Source organism: Homo sapiens, chromosome 4, assembly GCF_000001405.40.
Source record: "Homo sapiens chromosome 4, GRCh38.p14 Primary Assembly".
Taxonomy (NCBI): domain Eukaryota; kingdom Metazoa; phylum Chordata; class Mammalia; order Primates; family Hominidae; genus Homo; species Homo sapiens.
In genome coordinates this window covers 86,181,200-86,199,536 of record NC_000004.12, presented here as the reverse complement: position 1 = coordinate 86,199,536, position 18,337 = coordinate 86,181,200, and the positions used below count along the sequence as shown (strand labels likewise).

Below are 18,337 nucleotides of genomic sequence, written 5' to 3'. Positions count from 1 at the left end.
GCTTTTTTTATTCCTTTGCTTTCAAAAAACAGTTTTATCATACTAAAGCAATATTCTTAAATAAGATATTGTTTAGTTGTGCATATTTTCAAAATTTCATAAATGGATTAAGTATAACATAACAAAAAAAAGAGATGTTGTCATATTTGATACTTGTTTCACTATTCAACTATTTCATTGCTATATGGTATTCCACTAAAGGAAAATACCACAATTTATTTATTCATTGTTCTTTCTATGAATATTTGTTTTTTTCCAGAGTTCATTTTTATTATTTATTGCACTATTATAAAAATATTCTAATGAATTTTCTTGTACATGTATACTGGTATAAAAACATAAGAGTTTCTCTAGGAATATGTGTAGATGTGGAATTATTGTGTTGTAGGCTATGCACAAGTTTACTAAATAATGGCATTTTCCCTCTAAATTTAGTTGTTCCAATTGCCACACCTATTAGTAATGTACAAATATTCAAATCAACCTCCTTCCAAATACTGAATATGTATTATACTCTTCAGCTTTTGACAATTTGAAGGATATAAAATAGTATCCCAATATGATTTTAAGGTACGCATATATTTGTGAGTGCTCGTATATTTCTTTTTTCATGAAATTCTTCAATTTTTTGGGTTTTATTTATATATTGGTCCTTTGTCTTTTCTTCTTGATTTTTAAGGAGCTTTTTATAGATTCTCAATAAATTTTTCACTGTTTATATGTATTTTGATTTTTATTTCAAACATGTGGACTACTTTTTATACTAATTATCACATATTTTAATACACAGATTATTAATTTTAATATAGTTTATTTTATTAATATATTTTTCAAAGCTTAGCATATATATTATTTATGACTTATTTCACAGAAACAGTCAACCATATTTTCTTCTATATTATTTAAAGTTTGGCCTTTCCTGAAATTTCTGATCTGTCTGGAATTATTTTTTGTGTACAACGTGAGGTAGGAATTGTTGAGAACGCTGGAGAGTCTGAGATGTTACCTTACTTGCAAGTTCATAAATTAGCCTTTGACAGTTTTATGAATATTGGCAGAAGATACAAGACTCCTGGGTCAGATACGAGGGTCTTTATTACTCAGAGCAATAGCAGCAGTTAGAATGTCAGAACTCATGTCAGTTCCTCGGGCCCCAGTTCCCATAGGATGATGTAATGTTCAGGTGACCTCAGCACACACAGTTGCATTACTGAAGAGAAACCTCAAGCTAAGGGAACCCAAATCTTTTGTAATGGGCAGGAATCATGCCTGACCTTTGCCCCAGAGAGCCCGCCCCATAGTCATTAGATCTACCCTTTTCTCCAGAAGGAGACACTACCTCTATCTTTCAAGGCTGTCTGCTATATAATCATCCTTAGCAAGATGGTCTGGAACAAACTAGTGTTTCTGTTTGCAAAACATGCGGAAATATGAGAGGGCCATAGAGAATTGCCTTCCAACAGGAATCTAGTTTCTCCCCATCCCCATACAATGACTAATTGGGGTGGATCAGCATGATTTAATGCATAGTTTCTTCTTTCCTCAGATGTCTGCAGTGCTTACCTTGACATAATCAGGTTCCCATGTATGTCTGTGTCTGTTCTGGGCTCTGTATTCTATTAATTCATAGTCTATCATGACATCAATGCAACATATTTTTACTTATCACACCTTTATAATAGTTCTTGATCTCTGGCAGAATACTTCCCTTGCCGGCGCTAGGCAAACAGCCACTTGTTCTTCTTCAGGAATGTCTTATATATTCTTATCCTTTCAGTCTTCCTTAAATTTAAAAAACCTGCAGAAGTTCCAATGCAAAACATTTTTCCTTGCAATTCAGACCTTCCCTCTCAGATTATTTTGCTTCCTCCTACAGTTTATTGAAAACTTCCTATAGTAAGCTTTATGCAGTGTCTCCAGTATGACTTCCCACTGTAGATAGGTCTAAATCTTGTTTCCTGTACTCTGCATGCTACATTTTAAGAACTGAAGTTCTGAGTGGCTGGCAAGATGGCTGGCAAATTGTCTGTGTTTGCAGATGACATGATTCTACATTTAGAAAACCCCATTGTCTCAGCCCCAAATCTCCTTAAGCTGATAAGCAATTTGAGCAAAGTCTCAGGATGCAAAATTAATGTGCAAAAATCACAAGCATTCCTATACACCAATAGTAGACAGAGAGCCAAATCATGAGTGAACTCCCATTCACAACTGCTACAAAGAGAACAAAATACCTAGGAAGACAACTTACAAGGGATATGAAGGACCTTGAAGAGCAAGGAGAACTATGAGCCACTGCTCAAGGAAATAAGAGAGGACACAAACAAATGGAAAAACATTCCATGCTCATGGATAGGAAGAATCAATATTGTGAAAATGGCCATACTGCCCAAAGTAATTTATAGATCAATGCTATCCTCATCAAGCTACCATTGACTTTCTTCACAGAATTAGAAAAAACTACTTTAAATTTCATATGGAACCAAAAAAGAGCCCATATAGCCAAGACAATCCTAAGCAAAAAGAACAATGCTGGAGGCATCATGCTACATGATTTCAAACTATACTACAAGGCTACAGTAACCAAAACAGCATGGTGCTGGTACCAAAACAAATATATAGACCAATGGAACAGATCAGAGGCCTCAGAAATAATGCCACACATCTACAACCATCTGATTTTCGACAAACCTGCCAAAAACAAGCCATGAGGAAAGGATTCCCTATTTAATAAATGGTGTTAGGAAAACTGGCTAGCCATATGCAGAAAACTGAAACTGGACCCCTTCCTTACACCTTCTACAAAAATTAGCTCGAGATGGATTACCGACTTAAACATGAGACCTGAAACCATAAAAACTCTAGAAGAAAACCTAGGCAATACCATTCAGGACATAGGCATGGGCAAAGACTTCATGACTAAAACACCAAAAAGCAATAGCAACAAAAGCCAAAACTGACAAATGGGATCTAATTAAAGAGCTTCTGCACAGCAAAAGTAACTACCATCAGAGTGAACAGGCAACCTACAGAATGGGAGAAAGTTTTTGCAATGTATCCATCTGACAAAGGGCTAATATCCAGAATCTATAAAGAACTTAAACAAATTTACAAGAAAAAAGCTTACAACCCCATCAAAAAGTGGGTGAAGGATATGAACAGACACTTCTCAAAAGAAGTCATTTATGCAGCCAACAAACATGAAAAAAAGCTCATCACTAGTCATTAGAGAAATGCAAATCAAAACTGCAATAAGATAACATCTCATGCCAGTTAGAATGACCATCATTAAAAAGTCAGGAAACAAAGATGCTGGAGAGGATGTGGAGAAATAGGAATGCTTTTACAATGTTGGTGGGAGTGTAAATTAGTGCAACCATTGTGGAAGACAGTGTGGCAATTCCTCAAGGATCTAGAACCAGAAATACCATTTGACCCAGCAATCCCATTACTGGGTATATATCCAAAGGATTATAAATCATTCTTCTATAAAGACATATGCACACTTATGTTTATTGCAGCACTGTTCACAATAGCAAAGACTTGCAACCAACCCAAATGCTCATCAGTGATAGACTAGATGAAGAAAATATGACACATATACACCATGCAATACTATGCATCCGTAAAGAGGATGAGTTCATGTCCTTTGCAGGGGCATGGATGAAGCTGGAAACCATCATTCTCAGCAAACTAACACAGGAACCGAAAACCAAACACTGCATGTTCTCACTCATAAGTGGGAGCTGAACAATGAGAACACATGGACACAGGGAGGGGAACATCACACACAGGGGCCTGTCAGGGTGGGGGCCTAGGGGAGGGATAGCATTCAGAGAAATACCTAATGTAGATGATGGGTTGATGGGTGCAGCAAACCACCATGGCACATGTATACCTATGTAACAAACCTGCATGTTCTGCACATGTATCCCAGTACTTAAAGTATAATAAAAAAATACAAATAAAAAAAGAAGTAAAGTTCTAGTCATCAGACATCAGCAGACGGCCTGTGACAAACAGCGGCCTCAGCTCATTTACTTCTCTGCATGTATTCTTTCACATTGTTTTCAACTTCTCAGAACTTTTCATGCCTTTATTTTTGACCACTCAGCTATGCATTCTGAAAGATGTTTTGTGTATTTTATGTTAACATTTTTAGGGATTTTGCACTGATAGTGATTTTCAGGACATCTATCAATCCTTGCCAGAAATGGAAGTCGCATATTGATGGTGTTTTTAAATGGTTTAATCTGACAGTATTGTGCGTTTTGCACACAATCAGCATTCAACAAAGTGTGTTTAATTGAACTCAAAACAATTTATTTGGGTTTCTCTGATGTTGCTGTGTCATTCTCAAATAACTTAGTACCTAATTTGGCATTACTACCATTAGATAACTTTTCCTCTTAAAACTGTGCAAACTTATAGAATATTTTGAACATACAGAAAATGATATAATTGAATTTTTGTACTTCCCACCAAGATTAAACTTATGTTAATATGGTGCCTAATACTTTTTACTCCACAATTATATTTACTTAAAAGCAATATATAATCATTTTTGTATATTTTGTAATTTTAAAATTTCACACAAATATAGTATATTCCTTATATCTGTTACAAACTGCTTTTCTTCTCGGTCAATATCATGTTTGAAAAATTTATCTATTACTGATACAGTAAGCTCTAATATAATTACTCCAAGTCCTATATAGAATTCTATTATAAATTATATTTTATTTAATAGTGCTTTTATTCTACAATAAATATATATATCCTGTTGAGCATATGTTTGAGAGTTTTTTTTTGTAAATTAAATGTTAAGAACTGAAAATGCTTTATAACAGGATGTATTTCCCTTTAAATTATTAGGTATGTCCACTTTCTTATATCTAATCTTTATGAGTGTGATGGAATTGATCATTATAAAAGATAGGACATTTTAACCTTATTTCATTATTAAATACAATTTGTGAAAGGTATAGTACAGGTCAAGATAAGGATTATGTTGGAGATATGTTGTGCATGGTACTTTGCATATAACTCAAATTATGCCAAAATCTATATTGTTATATAATGAAAAACTAGTGATTTGAAAATTTATGCTCCATTTCTTTTTCCTCTAGGTATTTATGAGCCTCCATTTCTTATACTACTGCAGTGAACCAACATTGGATGTGAAAATTGCCTTTTGTCAGGTGTGTGTTCCTTACAGGTAAAACAAGGTACAGTATATTCCCTTGTATTTCCACTTTGACATACCATTTGCATACATTCCACACCAAAGTCAGTATTTATATCATATTAACAGTAGTTTAGAATTAGGAGCTGGCAAGACGGCTGAATAGAAACAGCCCCAGTCTCCAGCTCCCAGCAAGATCAACGCAGAAGACGAGTGATTTCTGCATTTCCACGTGAGGTACCTGGTTCATCTCACTGGGAAAGGTTAGAGAGTGGGTGCAGCCCACAGAGGGTGAGCTGAAGCAGGGTGGGGTGTCGCCTCACCCAGGAAGTGCAAGGGGTCAGGGAACTCCCTCTCCTAGCCAAGGGAAGCCATGAGGAACTGTGCCATGAGGAATGGTGCACTCTGGCGCAGATGCTACACTTTTTCGATGGTCTTCGCAACCTGCAGGTTCCCTCAGGTGTCTACACCGCAAGGGTCCTGGGTTTCAAGCACAAAATGGGCGGCCGTTTGGGCAGACACCAAGCTAGCTACAAGAGATTCTTTTCATACCCCAGTGGTGCCTGGAACACCAGCGAGACAGAACCATTCACCCCCCCTGGAAAGGGGGCTGAAGCCAGGGAGCCAAGTGGTCTAGCTTAGGGGATCCCACCCCCATGGAGCCCAGCAAGCTAAGATCCACTGGCTTGAAAATTCTCACTGACAGCACAGCAGTATGAAGTCGACCTGGGATGCTCAAGCTTGGTTGGGGGGAGGGGCGTCTGCCATTACTGAGGCTTGAGTAGACGGTTTTCCCCTCACAGTGTAAACAAAGATGCTGGAAAGTTCGAACTGGGCAGAGGCCACCACAGCTCAGCAAAGCCAGTGTAGCCAGACTGCCTCTCTAGATTCTGCCTGTCTGGGCAGGGCATCTCTGAAAGAAAGGCAGCAGCCTTAGTCAGCGACTTATAGATGAAACTCCTATCTCCCTGGGACAGAGTACCTGGGTGAAGGGGCAGCTGTGGGCACAGCTTCAGCAGACTTAAATGTTCCTGCCTGCCAGCTCTGAAGGGAGCAGCAGATCTCCCAGCACAGCAATCAAGCTCTGCTAAGGGACAGACTATCTCCTCAAGTGGGTCCCTGACCCCACACCTCCCAGCAAGGGTCGACAGACACCTCATACAGGAGAGCTCCAGCTGGCATCTGGCAGGTGCCCCTCTGAAAAAAGCTTCCAGAGGAAGGAACAGATGCAATCTTTGCTATTCTGCAGTCTCTGCTGGTGTTACTCAGGCAAACAGGATCTGGAGTGGACCCCCAGCAAACTCCAGCAGAGCTGCAGCAGAGGGGCCTGTTAGAAGGAAAACTAACAAACAGAAAGGAATAGCATCAACATCAACAAAAAGGACATTCACACAAAAACCCCATCTGAAGGTCATCAGCATCAAAAACCAAAGGTAGATAAATCCACAAAGATGAGGAAAAACCAGCACAAAAAGGCTGAAAATTCCAAAAGCCAGAATGCCTCTTCTCCTCCAAAGGATCACAACTCCTCGCCAGCAAGGGAACAAAGCTGGATGGAGAATGAGTTTGACGAATTGACAGAAGTAGGCTTCAGAAGGTGGGTAAAAACAAACTCCCCCAAGCTAAAGGAGCATGTTCTAACTCAATGCAAGGAAGTTAAGAACCTTGAAAAAAGGTTAAAGGAATTCCTAACTAGAATAACCAGTTTAGAGAAGAACATAAATGACCTGATGGAGCTGAAACACACAGCGTGAGAACTTCGTGAAGCATACACAAGTATCAATAGCCAAATCCATCAAGCGGAAGAAAGGATATCAGAGATTGAAGATCAACTTAATGAAATAAAGTGTGAAGACAAGATTAGAGAAAAAAGAATGAAAAAGAATGAACAAAGCCTCCAAGAAATATAGGACTATGTGAAAAGACCAAACCTATGTTTGATTGATGTACCTGAAAGTAACAGGGAGAATGGAACCAAGTTGAAAAACACTCTTTAGGATATTATCCAGGAGAACTTCCCCAACCTAGCAAGAGAGGCCAACATTCATATCCAGGAAATACAGAAAACACCACAAAGATACTCCTTGAGAAGACCAACCCCAAGATATATAATCATCAGGTTCACCAAGGTTAAAATGAAGGAAAAAATGGTAAGGGCAGCCAGAGAGAAAGGTTGGGTTACCCATAAAGGGAAGCCGATCAGACTAACAGCAAATATCTCTGCAGAAACCCTACAAGCCAGAAGAGAGTGGGGGGCAATATTCGACATTCTTAAAGAAAAGAATTTTCAACCCAGAATTTCATATCCAGCCAAATTAAGCTTCATAAGTGAAGGAGAAATAAAATTCTTTACAGACAAGCAAATGCTGAGAGATTCTGTCACCACCAGGCCTGCCTTACAAGAGCTCCTGAAGGGAGCACTAAATACGGAAAGGAACAGTTGGTACCAGCCACTGAAAAAACATCCCAAATTGTAAAGACCATCGACACTATGAAGAAACTGCATCAACTAATGGGCAAAATAACCAGCTGACATCATAATGACAGGATCAAATTCACACATAACAATATTAACCTTAAAGGTAAATGGGCTAAATGCCCCAATCAAAAGACACAGACTGGCAAATTGGATTGAGTTAAAATTGGATAGAGTCAAGACCCGTCGGTGTGCTGTATTCAGGATACCCATCTCACATGCAAAGACACATATAGGCTCAAAATAATGGGATGGAGGAATAGTTACTAAACAAATGGAAAGCAAAAAAAAAAAAAAAAAAAAAAAAAAAAAAAAAAAAAAAGCACGGGTTGTAATCCTAGTCTCTGATAAAGATCAAAAAAGACAAAGAAAGGCATTACATAAAGGTAAAGGGGTCAATGCAACAAGAAGAGCTAACTCTCTTAAATTTATATGCACCCAATACAGGAGCACCTGGATTCATAAGGCAAGTTCTTAGAGACCTACAAGGAGACTTAGACTCTCACACAATAATAGTGGGAGAATTTAACACCCCATTGTCAATATTAGACAGATCAACGAGGCAGAAAATTAACAAGGATATTCAGGACTTGAATGCAGCTCTGGACCAAGTGGACCTAATAGACATCTACAGAACTTTCTACCCCAAATCAGCAGAATATACATTCTTCTCAACACCACATAGCATTTATTCTAAAATTGACCACATAATTGGAAGTAAAACACTCCTCAGCAAATGCAAAAGAATGGAAATCATAACAAACAGTCTTTCAGACCACAGTGCAATGAAATTAGAATGCAGGATTTAAAAACTTACTCAAAACCACAGAACTACATAGATACTGAACAACCTGCTCCTAAATGACTACTGGGTAAATAACAAAATTAAGGCAGAAATAAATCAGTTATTTGAAATTGAGGAGAACAAAGACACAATATACCAGAATCTCTGGGAGACAGCTAAAGCAGTGGTTAGAGGGAAATTTATAGCACTAAATGCCCACAGGAGAAAGTGAAAAAGATCTAAAATCAACATCCTAACATAATAATTAAAAGAACTAGAGAAGCAAGAGTAAACAATTTCAAAAGATAGCAGAGGACAAGAAATAACTAAGATCAGAGCAGAACTGAAGGATAGATACACAAAAAACCCTTCAAAAAATCACAGAATCCAGGAGCTGGTTTTTTTGAAAAGGTTAACAAAATAGATAGACTGCTAGCCAGACTAATAAAGAGGAAAAGAAAGAAGAATCAAATAGACACAATAAAAAATGAAGAAGGGGATATCACCACTGATCCCACAGAAATACAGACTACCGTCAGAGAATACTATAAACACCTCTATGCAAATAAACTTGAAAATCTAGAAAAAATGGTTAAATTCCTGGACACATACACCCTCCCAAGACTAAACCAGGAAGAAGTTAAATCCCTGAATAGACCAATAACAAGTGCTGAAATTGAGGCAGTAATTAATAGCCTACCAACCAAAAAAAGCCCAGGACCAGACAGATTCACAGCTGAATTCTACTGGAGGTACAGAAGAGCTGGTATCATTCCTTCTGAAACTATTCCAGACAATAGAAAAAGAGGGACTCCTTCCTTACTCATTTTATGAGGCCAGCATCATACTGATACCAAAACCTGGCAGAGACACAGCGTAAAAAGAAAATTTCAGGGCAGTATCCCTGATGAACATCAATGTAAAAATCCTCAATAAAATACTGACAAACCAAATCCAGCAGCACATCAAAAAGCTTATCTACCTTGACCAAGTTGGCTTCATCCCTGGGATGCAAGGGTGTTTCAGCATATGCAAATCAATAAATGTAATCCATCACAGAAACAGAACCAATGACAAAAACCACATGTTTATCTCAATAGATGCAGAAAAGGCCTTCGATAAAATTCAACACCCATTCATGCTAAAAACTCTCAATAAACTAGGCACTGATGGAACGTATCTCAAAATAATAAGAGCTATTTATGACAGTTCCACAGCCAGTATCATACTGAATGGGAAAAGCTGGAATAATTCCCTTAGAAAACCAGCAGAAGACAAGGTGCCCTCTCTCACCACTCCTATTCAACAGAGTATTGGAAGTTCTGACTGGGGCAATCAGGCAAGAGAATGAAATAAAGCGTATTCAAATAAGAAGAGAAGAAGTCAAATTTTCTCTGTTTGCAGATGACATGATTGTATATTTAGAAAACCTCATCATCTCAGTCCAAAATCTCCTTAATCTGATAAGCAACTTCAGCAAAGTCTCAAGATACAAAGTCAATTTGCAAATATCACAAGCATTTCTATATACCAATAATAGACAAACAGAGAGCCAAATCATGAGTGAACTCCCATTCACAACTGCTACAAAGAGAATAAAATACCTAGGAATACAATTAAAAGGGATGCGAATGACCTCTTCAAGGAGAACTACAAAACATGGCTGAAGGAAATAAGAGAGGACACAAATAAATGGAAAAACAAAACATACCATGCTCATGGATAGGAAGAATCAATATTGTGAAAATGGCCATACTGCCTAAAGTAATTTATAGATTCAATGCTATTCCCATCAAACTACCTTTGACATTCTTCACAGAATTAGAAAAAACTACTTTAAATTTCATATGGAACCAAAAAAGAGCCCATAAAGCCAAGACAATCCTAAGCAAAAAGAACAACACTGGAGGCATCATGCTACCTGACTTCAAACTATATTACAAGGCTACAGTAACCAAAACAGCATGGTGCTGGTACCAAAACAAATACATAGACCAATGGAACAGAACAGAGGCCTCAGAAATAATGCCCCAAATCTACAACCATCTGATCTTCAACAAAAATAAGCCATGGGGAAAGGATTCCCTATTTAATAAATGGTGTTGGGAAAACTGGCTAGCCATATGCAGAAAACTGAAACTGGACCCTTTCCTTACACCTTATACAAAGATTAACTCAAGATGGATTAAAGACTTAAACGTAAGACCTAAAACCATAAAAACCGTAAAAACCGTGGAAGAAAACCTAGGTAATATCATTCAGGACATAGGCATGGGCAAAGACTTCATGACTAAAACACCAAAAGCAATGGCAACAAAAGCCAAAATTGACAAATGGGATCTAGTTAAACTAAAGAGCTTCTGCACAGCAAAAGAAATTATTACCAGAGTGAACAGGCAACCCACAGAATGGGGGAACATTTTTGCAATGTATCCATCTGACAAAGGGCTAAAGTCCAGAATCTATAAAGAACTTAAATTTATGAGAAAATAACAAACAACCCCATCAAAAAATGGGCAAATGATATGAACAGTCACTTCTCAAAAGAAGACATTTATGCAGACAACAAACATATGAAAAAAAGCTCTTCATCACTGGTCATTGGAGAAATGCAAATCAAAACCACAATGAGATAACATCTCATGCCAGTTAGAATGGTGAGCATTAAAAAGTCAGGAAACAACAGATGCTGGAGAGGATGTGGAGGAATAGGAAAGCTTTTACACTGTTGGTGGGAGTGTAAATTAGTTCAACCATTGTGGAAGACAGTGTGGTGATTCCTCAAGGATCTAGAACCAGAAACACCATTTGACCCAGCAATCCCATTACTGGGTATATATCCAAAGGATTCTAATCATTCAACTATAAAGACAAATGCACAGGTATGTTTATAGTGGCACTGTTCACAATAGCAAGACTTGCAACCAAACCAAATGCCCATCAGTAATAGACTAGATAAAGAAAATATGCCACATACACACCATGGAATACTACGCAGCCATAAAAAGGATGAGTTCATGTCCTTTGCAGGGACATGGATGAAGCTGGAAACCATCATTCTTAGCAAACTAACAGGAACAGAAAGCCAAACATCCCATGTTCTCACTCACATGTGGGAGCTGAACAATGAGAACACATGGGCACAGGGAGGGGAACATCACACACCAGGGCATGTCGAGAGGGATAGAATTAGGAGAAACACCTAATGTAGATGACAGATTGATGGGTGCAGCAAACCACCATGGCACATGTATACCTATGTAACAAACCTTCATGTTCTGCACATGTATCGCAGAACTTAAAGTATAAGTTTTTAAAAAAGTAGTTTAGGAAATGGAAGTGAATAGGTGTTTAGTTTCTAATTCATTTAAGTTAGAATGGGAATAAAGGTAATTTTTTCAAGTTTTATTATAAAGTGATTTCTTCTTTGATTATATTTACACTTAAAGATTTTAGTATTTCTTTTCAAATCCTTGAAATGGGTCTTTAACCATAAAAATAGTTTCATTCTTTACAGTAGTCCCCCCTTATCTGTGGTTTCGGTTTCCACAGTTTCAGTCACCTACTGTTAACTGTGGTCCTCAAAATATTAAATTGAAAATTCCAGAAATAACAACTCATGAGTTTTAGATTGCACGCTGTTCTGAGTAGTGTGAAGAAATCTTGTGCCATCTTGCTCCATCCCACTTAGGTTGTGCAGCACGTCCATATAATGCCACCTGCCAGTGAATTACGTAACAACCATCTCTGTTATCAGATTGACTGTTGTGGTATCACAGTGCTCGTGTTCAAGTAACTTTTATTTTACTTAATTGTTCTATTTTATATTAGTTATTGTTGTTAATATCTTACTGTGCCTAACTTATAAATTAAACTTTATCATAGGTATATATGTATAGGGTTCAGTGCTATCTGTGGTTTCAGGCATCCACTGGGGGTCTTAAAATGTATTCTCTGAATATAAGGGGAGACTACTGTATTATTATTTCTCATCATACGAACTGATTAGCCTGAAATAGAGTATCTCTAAACCCACTATAATAATATACAGGTGGTAGTCAGTTTTTTTTCTGATGCCTAATTCTAACCAGTACTTATAATAGTAAAAATGTTAACCAACAATAATGACAAACAATGGTATACTTAACCTAGAAGGGAAAGTAAGAAGGTGGCAACAACGTTTGTTAGTGTGCATGGACTAGATAAGAGTTGACTTCTTTGTATTCATGCAAACCCTATCTTTAAGGAGAAGGCTCCCTAGGGCACCTACATAAACTTCAAGTATTTTTAAAACAGTTCTAACTTAACCCTGTTGTCATATATAATTGACAGTGCTTTCTTTTACTCTCAAGAATTGTTCTAGTTTTGGCAAAAAATTGTATGTTACCTTATTCATACTTAAGCAGAGAGCTTCCCTTCAGTTTTTCAGCATGATTATCATTGCACCTTCTCTTTGAGCTGTGTTTTAAATAAAGAATGACATGAATCATTGAAACAAGATTTTTAAAATAACTCTTTTGCTTTATTTTAATGCAATCTTTCCTGATTCTAGAATTAATATTTGCTTATTATAGAAAATATAGAAAAGCATAAAAGGAAACAAAACATTGTTTTTGCATATGCTTTCTGTAACTACTGTATGTACTTTCCTTGAGCATAGATTTTCTATGAGAAAGTAAAATGTGTTGCCTGCAATGAATAAGATTTACTGATCTCTCTCATCTCCCTAAACTGTAATTGTTGCAGTTTCTGAAGTCTCAGGCCATTAGACAACTTCTCTAATAAGAACTCCAGTGCTAGACAGCCTTGGTTAGAAATTCCATTTCTATCCCTTATTAGCCATTTACTTGTGACCTTGGGCAAGTTACTTGATCTCTATGTGCTTCAGTTTCTTTATTTATAAAAGGAGGAAATAATAATACCTATATTTTAGGCTTGTTATGAGAATTAAATGAGTTTATACTTGCAAAGCACTGAGAGCAGTACTGGCACATGTGTTTGTTAAATAGATGATTAAATTTTAAATAAATTTATACTCACTTTCTAGTGCTCCCACTGAGTCCCAGTGCTTTAAATATTATCATTATCATGAATATCACACAGTTTTATCTCCAACCCAAACATTTTCCTGGAACTGGACTCATATTCAACTGTCTGTTCTACATCTCCACTTAGATGTCAAATAGGCATATCAGACTGTACGCATTCCAAAGCAACACCTCATCTATCCTCTAAAATTACTCTTCCCATTGTCTACTCCAGTTCAGTAACTGATAACTTCACTCTTCCACTTATAATAAAATCCTTGGAATCATCTTTTGGGTCACACTCCATATTCAAGCTGTCAGCAAATTCTGTTGACTCTATAATTAAAACATAACTGGAATCTCACTGATTCTCACTATTTCTCCACTACCACCCTGAAAGATACCCTTATCTCTTGCTTAAATTATTGTAAGAGCTTCTACTTTTGCCCACCCCCAAGTGGTTTACTCTTAAAACATTAGAAAGAATTGTCTTTGAAAAATAATTGAGATCATGTCACTCCTTGACTAAAACTAAAACAAAAGAGAAAGACCTTTCAATGTCTTCCTATCTCACTCAGCAAAAATTAAAATCCTTATAATAAATCCCCAAGCCTTTATTATCTAGCCCCCTAGAAACCTCTATCCTAAAATGTTCTTCTGTTATCCACTTGGGCCACTCCTTAACCATCTTCAGGGCTTCACTGAAATGTCATTTTTAAGCAAATCTTTCCTGACAATCCTTTTAAAAATAGTCCTAACTACCTGACTGCATACCCAACTTCCTTGCCTCCATAATACATCAGTATCTAACGTTCTATATATGTTGCTGGTCTGGAATTTTGCTCCTCTCTCTCCACTTGAATGCATTTTGCACATGAACCAGATTTTTTTCAGTGTCCTGCTGGGGCCAGTTCACACAGGCTCACAAGAGCTGAATATGCACAACTTTCCAACTCAAAGTTTAACGATGCCAAGTTGGTAACTTAAAATCTGTCATGATCGGAGTATTTATGTTACAGAAATGTGCAAATACTGCAAATAGGCCCCTTTCCCATTATTTCTCCTCCCCAGCCAGTTGTTGAACATTTACCAGCACACCATTGGAATCGTCTCCTGTTCACTGCTGTACTGCAGAACTCACAATAGTATCTGACATAGGGTCGGTGTATTAGGCAGTTCTTGTGATGCTATAAAGAAATACTTGAGGCTGGGTAATTTATAGAGAAAAGAGGTTTAACTGGCTCATGGTTCTGCGACAGTACAAGAAATGTGGCACAGGCATCTGCTTCTGGTTCAGGAAGCTTACAATTATGGTAGAAAGCAAGGGAGGAGCAGGCATCTCACACGGCCAGCGTGGGAGCAAGAGAGAAAGCAGGGAAGGTGCCACACACTTCTAAGCAACCAGATCTCATAAGAACTCACTCACTGTAGTGAGGACAACACCAAGCCACAAGGGATCCATCTCCATGACCCAAACACCTCCCACCAGGCCCCACCTGCAGCACTGAGGATTACATTTTAACATGAGATTTGAAGGGGACAAATATCCAAACCATATCAGTAGGCTCTCATCAAACATCTGCAGAATGAATAAATGAATCATACATGTTTTGCTTATGTAATCAGTAGCAACAGTGATCCTGCTGTGGTGTAAAATGAGTAGGCCTGAATTTTTAGGTTAAATATCTGGGCCCTAGCACTTGCAAGCTGTATGACTGTGAGCTATTTCCTTAGCCTTCATTATCCTAGCCATTTACTTGCCATTAACACTTAAAAAACATACCAACCGACATAAAACCATAAAAACCCTAGAAGAAAACCTAGGCAATACCATTCAAGACATAGGCATGGGCAAGGACTTCATGTCTAAAACACCAAAAGCAATGGCAACAAAAGACAAAATTGACAAATGAGATCTAATTAAACTAAAGAGCTTCTGCACAGCAAAAGAAACTACCATCAGAGTGAACAGGCAACCTACAGAATGGGAGAAAATTTTTGCAATCTACTCATCTGACAAAGGGCTAATATCCAGAATCTACAATGAACTCAAACAAATTTACAAGAAAAATACAAACAACCCCATCAAAAAGTGGGCAAAGGACATGAACAGACACTTCTCAAAAGAAGACATTTATGCAGCCAAAAGACACATGAAAAAATGCTCATCATCTCTGGCCATCAGAGAAATGCAAATCAAAACCACAATGAGATACTGTCTCACACCAGTTAGAATGGCGATCATTAAAAAGTCAGGAAACAACAGGTGCTGGAGAGGATGTGGAGAAATAGGAACACTTTTACACTGTTGATGGGATTGTAAACTAGTTCAGCCATTGTGGAAGTCAGTGTGGCGATTCCTCAGGGATCTAGAACTAGAAATACCATTTGACCCAGTCATCCCATTACTGGGTATATACCCAAAGGATTACAAATCATGCCACTATAAAGACACATGCACACGTATGTTTATTGCGGCACTATTCACAATAGCAAAGACTTGGAACCAACCCAAATGTCCAACAATGATAGACTGGATTAAGAAAATGTGGCACATATACACCATGGAATACTATGCAGCCATAAAAAATGATGAGTTCATGTCCTTTGTAGGGACATGGATGAAGCTGGAAGCCATCATTCTCAGCAAACTATCGCAAGGACAAAAAACCAAACACTGCATGTTCTCACTCATAGATGGGAACTGAACAATGAGAACACATGTACACAGGAAGGGGAACATCACACACTGGGGACTGTTGTGGGGTAGGGGGAGGGGGGAGGGATAGCATTTGGAAATATACCTAATGTTAAATGACGAGTTACTGAGTGCAGCACACCAACATGGCACATGTATACATATGTAACTAACCTGCACAATGTGCACATGTACCCTAAAACTTAAAGTATAATAATAATAAAAAAAAACCAGCCAAAACTAAAATCTAAGTTAATGTTTTACATATTTCAAGACTAAATCTGAAACTCAAAAACAATTATCAATTAACATAGCCTAAAAATTTCAGCCATTTTTTAAAATACAGAAAGTCTTTGTGTAGGGTGTCGTTATTTTTCAGTTCAACTTTCTACATTTGGGTGTAGATACAGAATGTTTATTTTTAATGAGAGTTCTTTTAAAGCAAAGGAATAAAAAGAAGTGAAGCATGAACTTTCTTAATGACTGGATTTTCTTGCTTATTATGAGCTTTTAATACACAGAAAATATGCATGCATATAACGTTTTTAAAAAATCTAGAAATAGCATAGTAAAAATATTTCCATTTGTGACTGGACATTTTATTTACTTCCTATGTAGAATTTTCTCTGATAAAAACACTTATTTTTATTTTTCTTATAACTCTGTGCCTCATTCACTTCTCTAGCAATTTAAAGAAAACAGTGTATTTATTTTTAGAGGCAGAATGATGTATTGGGGTTTTCTTTCTAACTATGTTCCTTGGAAGCTTCTCATTTCCTGGGGCATCTCACAGATCCTTTATGTGCTATGGTGTTTAAGCTTATCACCAGCTTGGCTAAGGCTACTCTCAACTTTTTGCCCAACAGACAATACTCAAAGATCTTAAAAAACTTGTCAATAATTAATTAATGATTAACTGTGTCCAGAATTCCAGTCTCTTGAGCCTTAGTCCATGGGGTTTTCAATTATGTCATATTTCTAAGCTTTTCACTATTGTCTGCAAGAAATCAGAGAAATACGGAAAATGAAATTGCTGAATAGTATTTGTTAACAGAAAATAGGTACATTATCTTTAATAGTTTTTACCTTAATTCTTAACTCAATTATTTGAAGAATATGGGATTCACTGACTTTTTTGAAGAAGTTACTCTTATTATTTTTTTTAACCCAACCAAGTAGCTTTTGAAGGCAAGAGGCTTCTTGTTATAGTCTCGGGAGAAATTTTTCTTTGTAATGTTGGACAATAAAAGAATAATCTTTAGTTTGCACTGGTATTAATTCAATAATTACAAAAATATAAACCTACAGGGAATATAAAGTGAAAAATTCTTGATTCTCCTGAGCAATAGGTAAGTAGTCTTAGCCCTCTTTTCTCAATTGAACAGAGGTACAGAACTGTTACATTTCACTCTATGAATTTAAAAAACTCATGAAAGTGTTCTTTTTGGAACTTTGTTGTACTGAACAGATTATTCAGGATTTTAACCAGGAGATATATTCACAGAGAAATAATATGTGTTGTGGCTCCCCAACTCCTACACACTCTCTGGTGTCTACAGCACTTACCGCATTCTTTGTGCATTACTACTAAGTTTACAGATTTGTTTTCCCCATTCAGTGGTACTATCTCAGGGTCAGGACCAGGGCATCTTCCTCCTTAACTCCCAGGCCCAGAAGTTTATCTTACTACAGAAAATATTCAATGAAAGAGGGAAAATGAAAACCCAGCAGAAAAACACCATTTCCTAAGTAGAAATGTGTTTGCTTGCTTTTCAAAATCAAATCAATTTTTCAACATCCTCATATCCTACAAGTGTATGTTAATAGATTTAATTATGTTTTCATTATTTTCCTAATCATAAATCAGTATTTACCTAACATTTATCTAACATTTATCAACTTAGTGTCCTCTGTAAACATTTACCGATGATTTAGTTATGAATAATTTTAAATTATTTCCTGATTTTGAGAAAGCCTGTGACACAGAGGGTACAAATTAATTAATCATCAAATCATAAATTTAAGCAGCACTAGAAGTAAAAGGGACTGAGCTAAGACTGGTCTTCCTTTTTCTTATGACACAAAAACTCCTTTTGGCTCCTTATCTACTCGTTGACTGATTGATTATTGATTTTACCATTCATCGATTCAATACATATTTTTAAGA

The 18,337-nt window shown here is 37.0% G+C and overlaps 1 protein-coding gene and 1 long non-coding RNA gene across 15 annotated transcripts in view; one reads left to right on the top strand and one right to left on the bottom strand.

Annotated features, from left to right (window-relative positions):
* The window catches only part of MAPK10 (mitogen-activated protein kinase 10), a 583,670-nt gene that overhangs the window by 394,538 nt on the left and 170,795 nt on the right, over nucleotides 1-18,337 (top strand). For 10 of the 14 annotated variants that reach the window (XM_047415964.1, NM_002753.6, NM_138982.4 and 7 more), the window contains one exon: nucleotides 5,130-5,201. In XM_047415964.1, coding sequence (XP_047271920.1) covers nucleotides 5,130-5,201 — 72 coding nt within the window. Of the gene's footprint in view, nucleotides 1-5,129; nucleotides 5,229-18,337 lie in introns of all 14 variants that reach the window. The other 4 variants (NM_001351624.2, NM_001351625.3, NM_001363657.3 and 1 more) reach the window with 2 other exon arrangements.
* The window catches only part of MAPK10-AS1 (MAPK10 antisense RNA 1), a 100,121-nt gene that overhangs the window by 20,390 nt on the left and 61,394 nt on the right, over nucleotides 1-18,337 (bottom strand). The gene's annotated exons all lie outside the window — the stretch shown is intronic.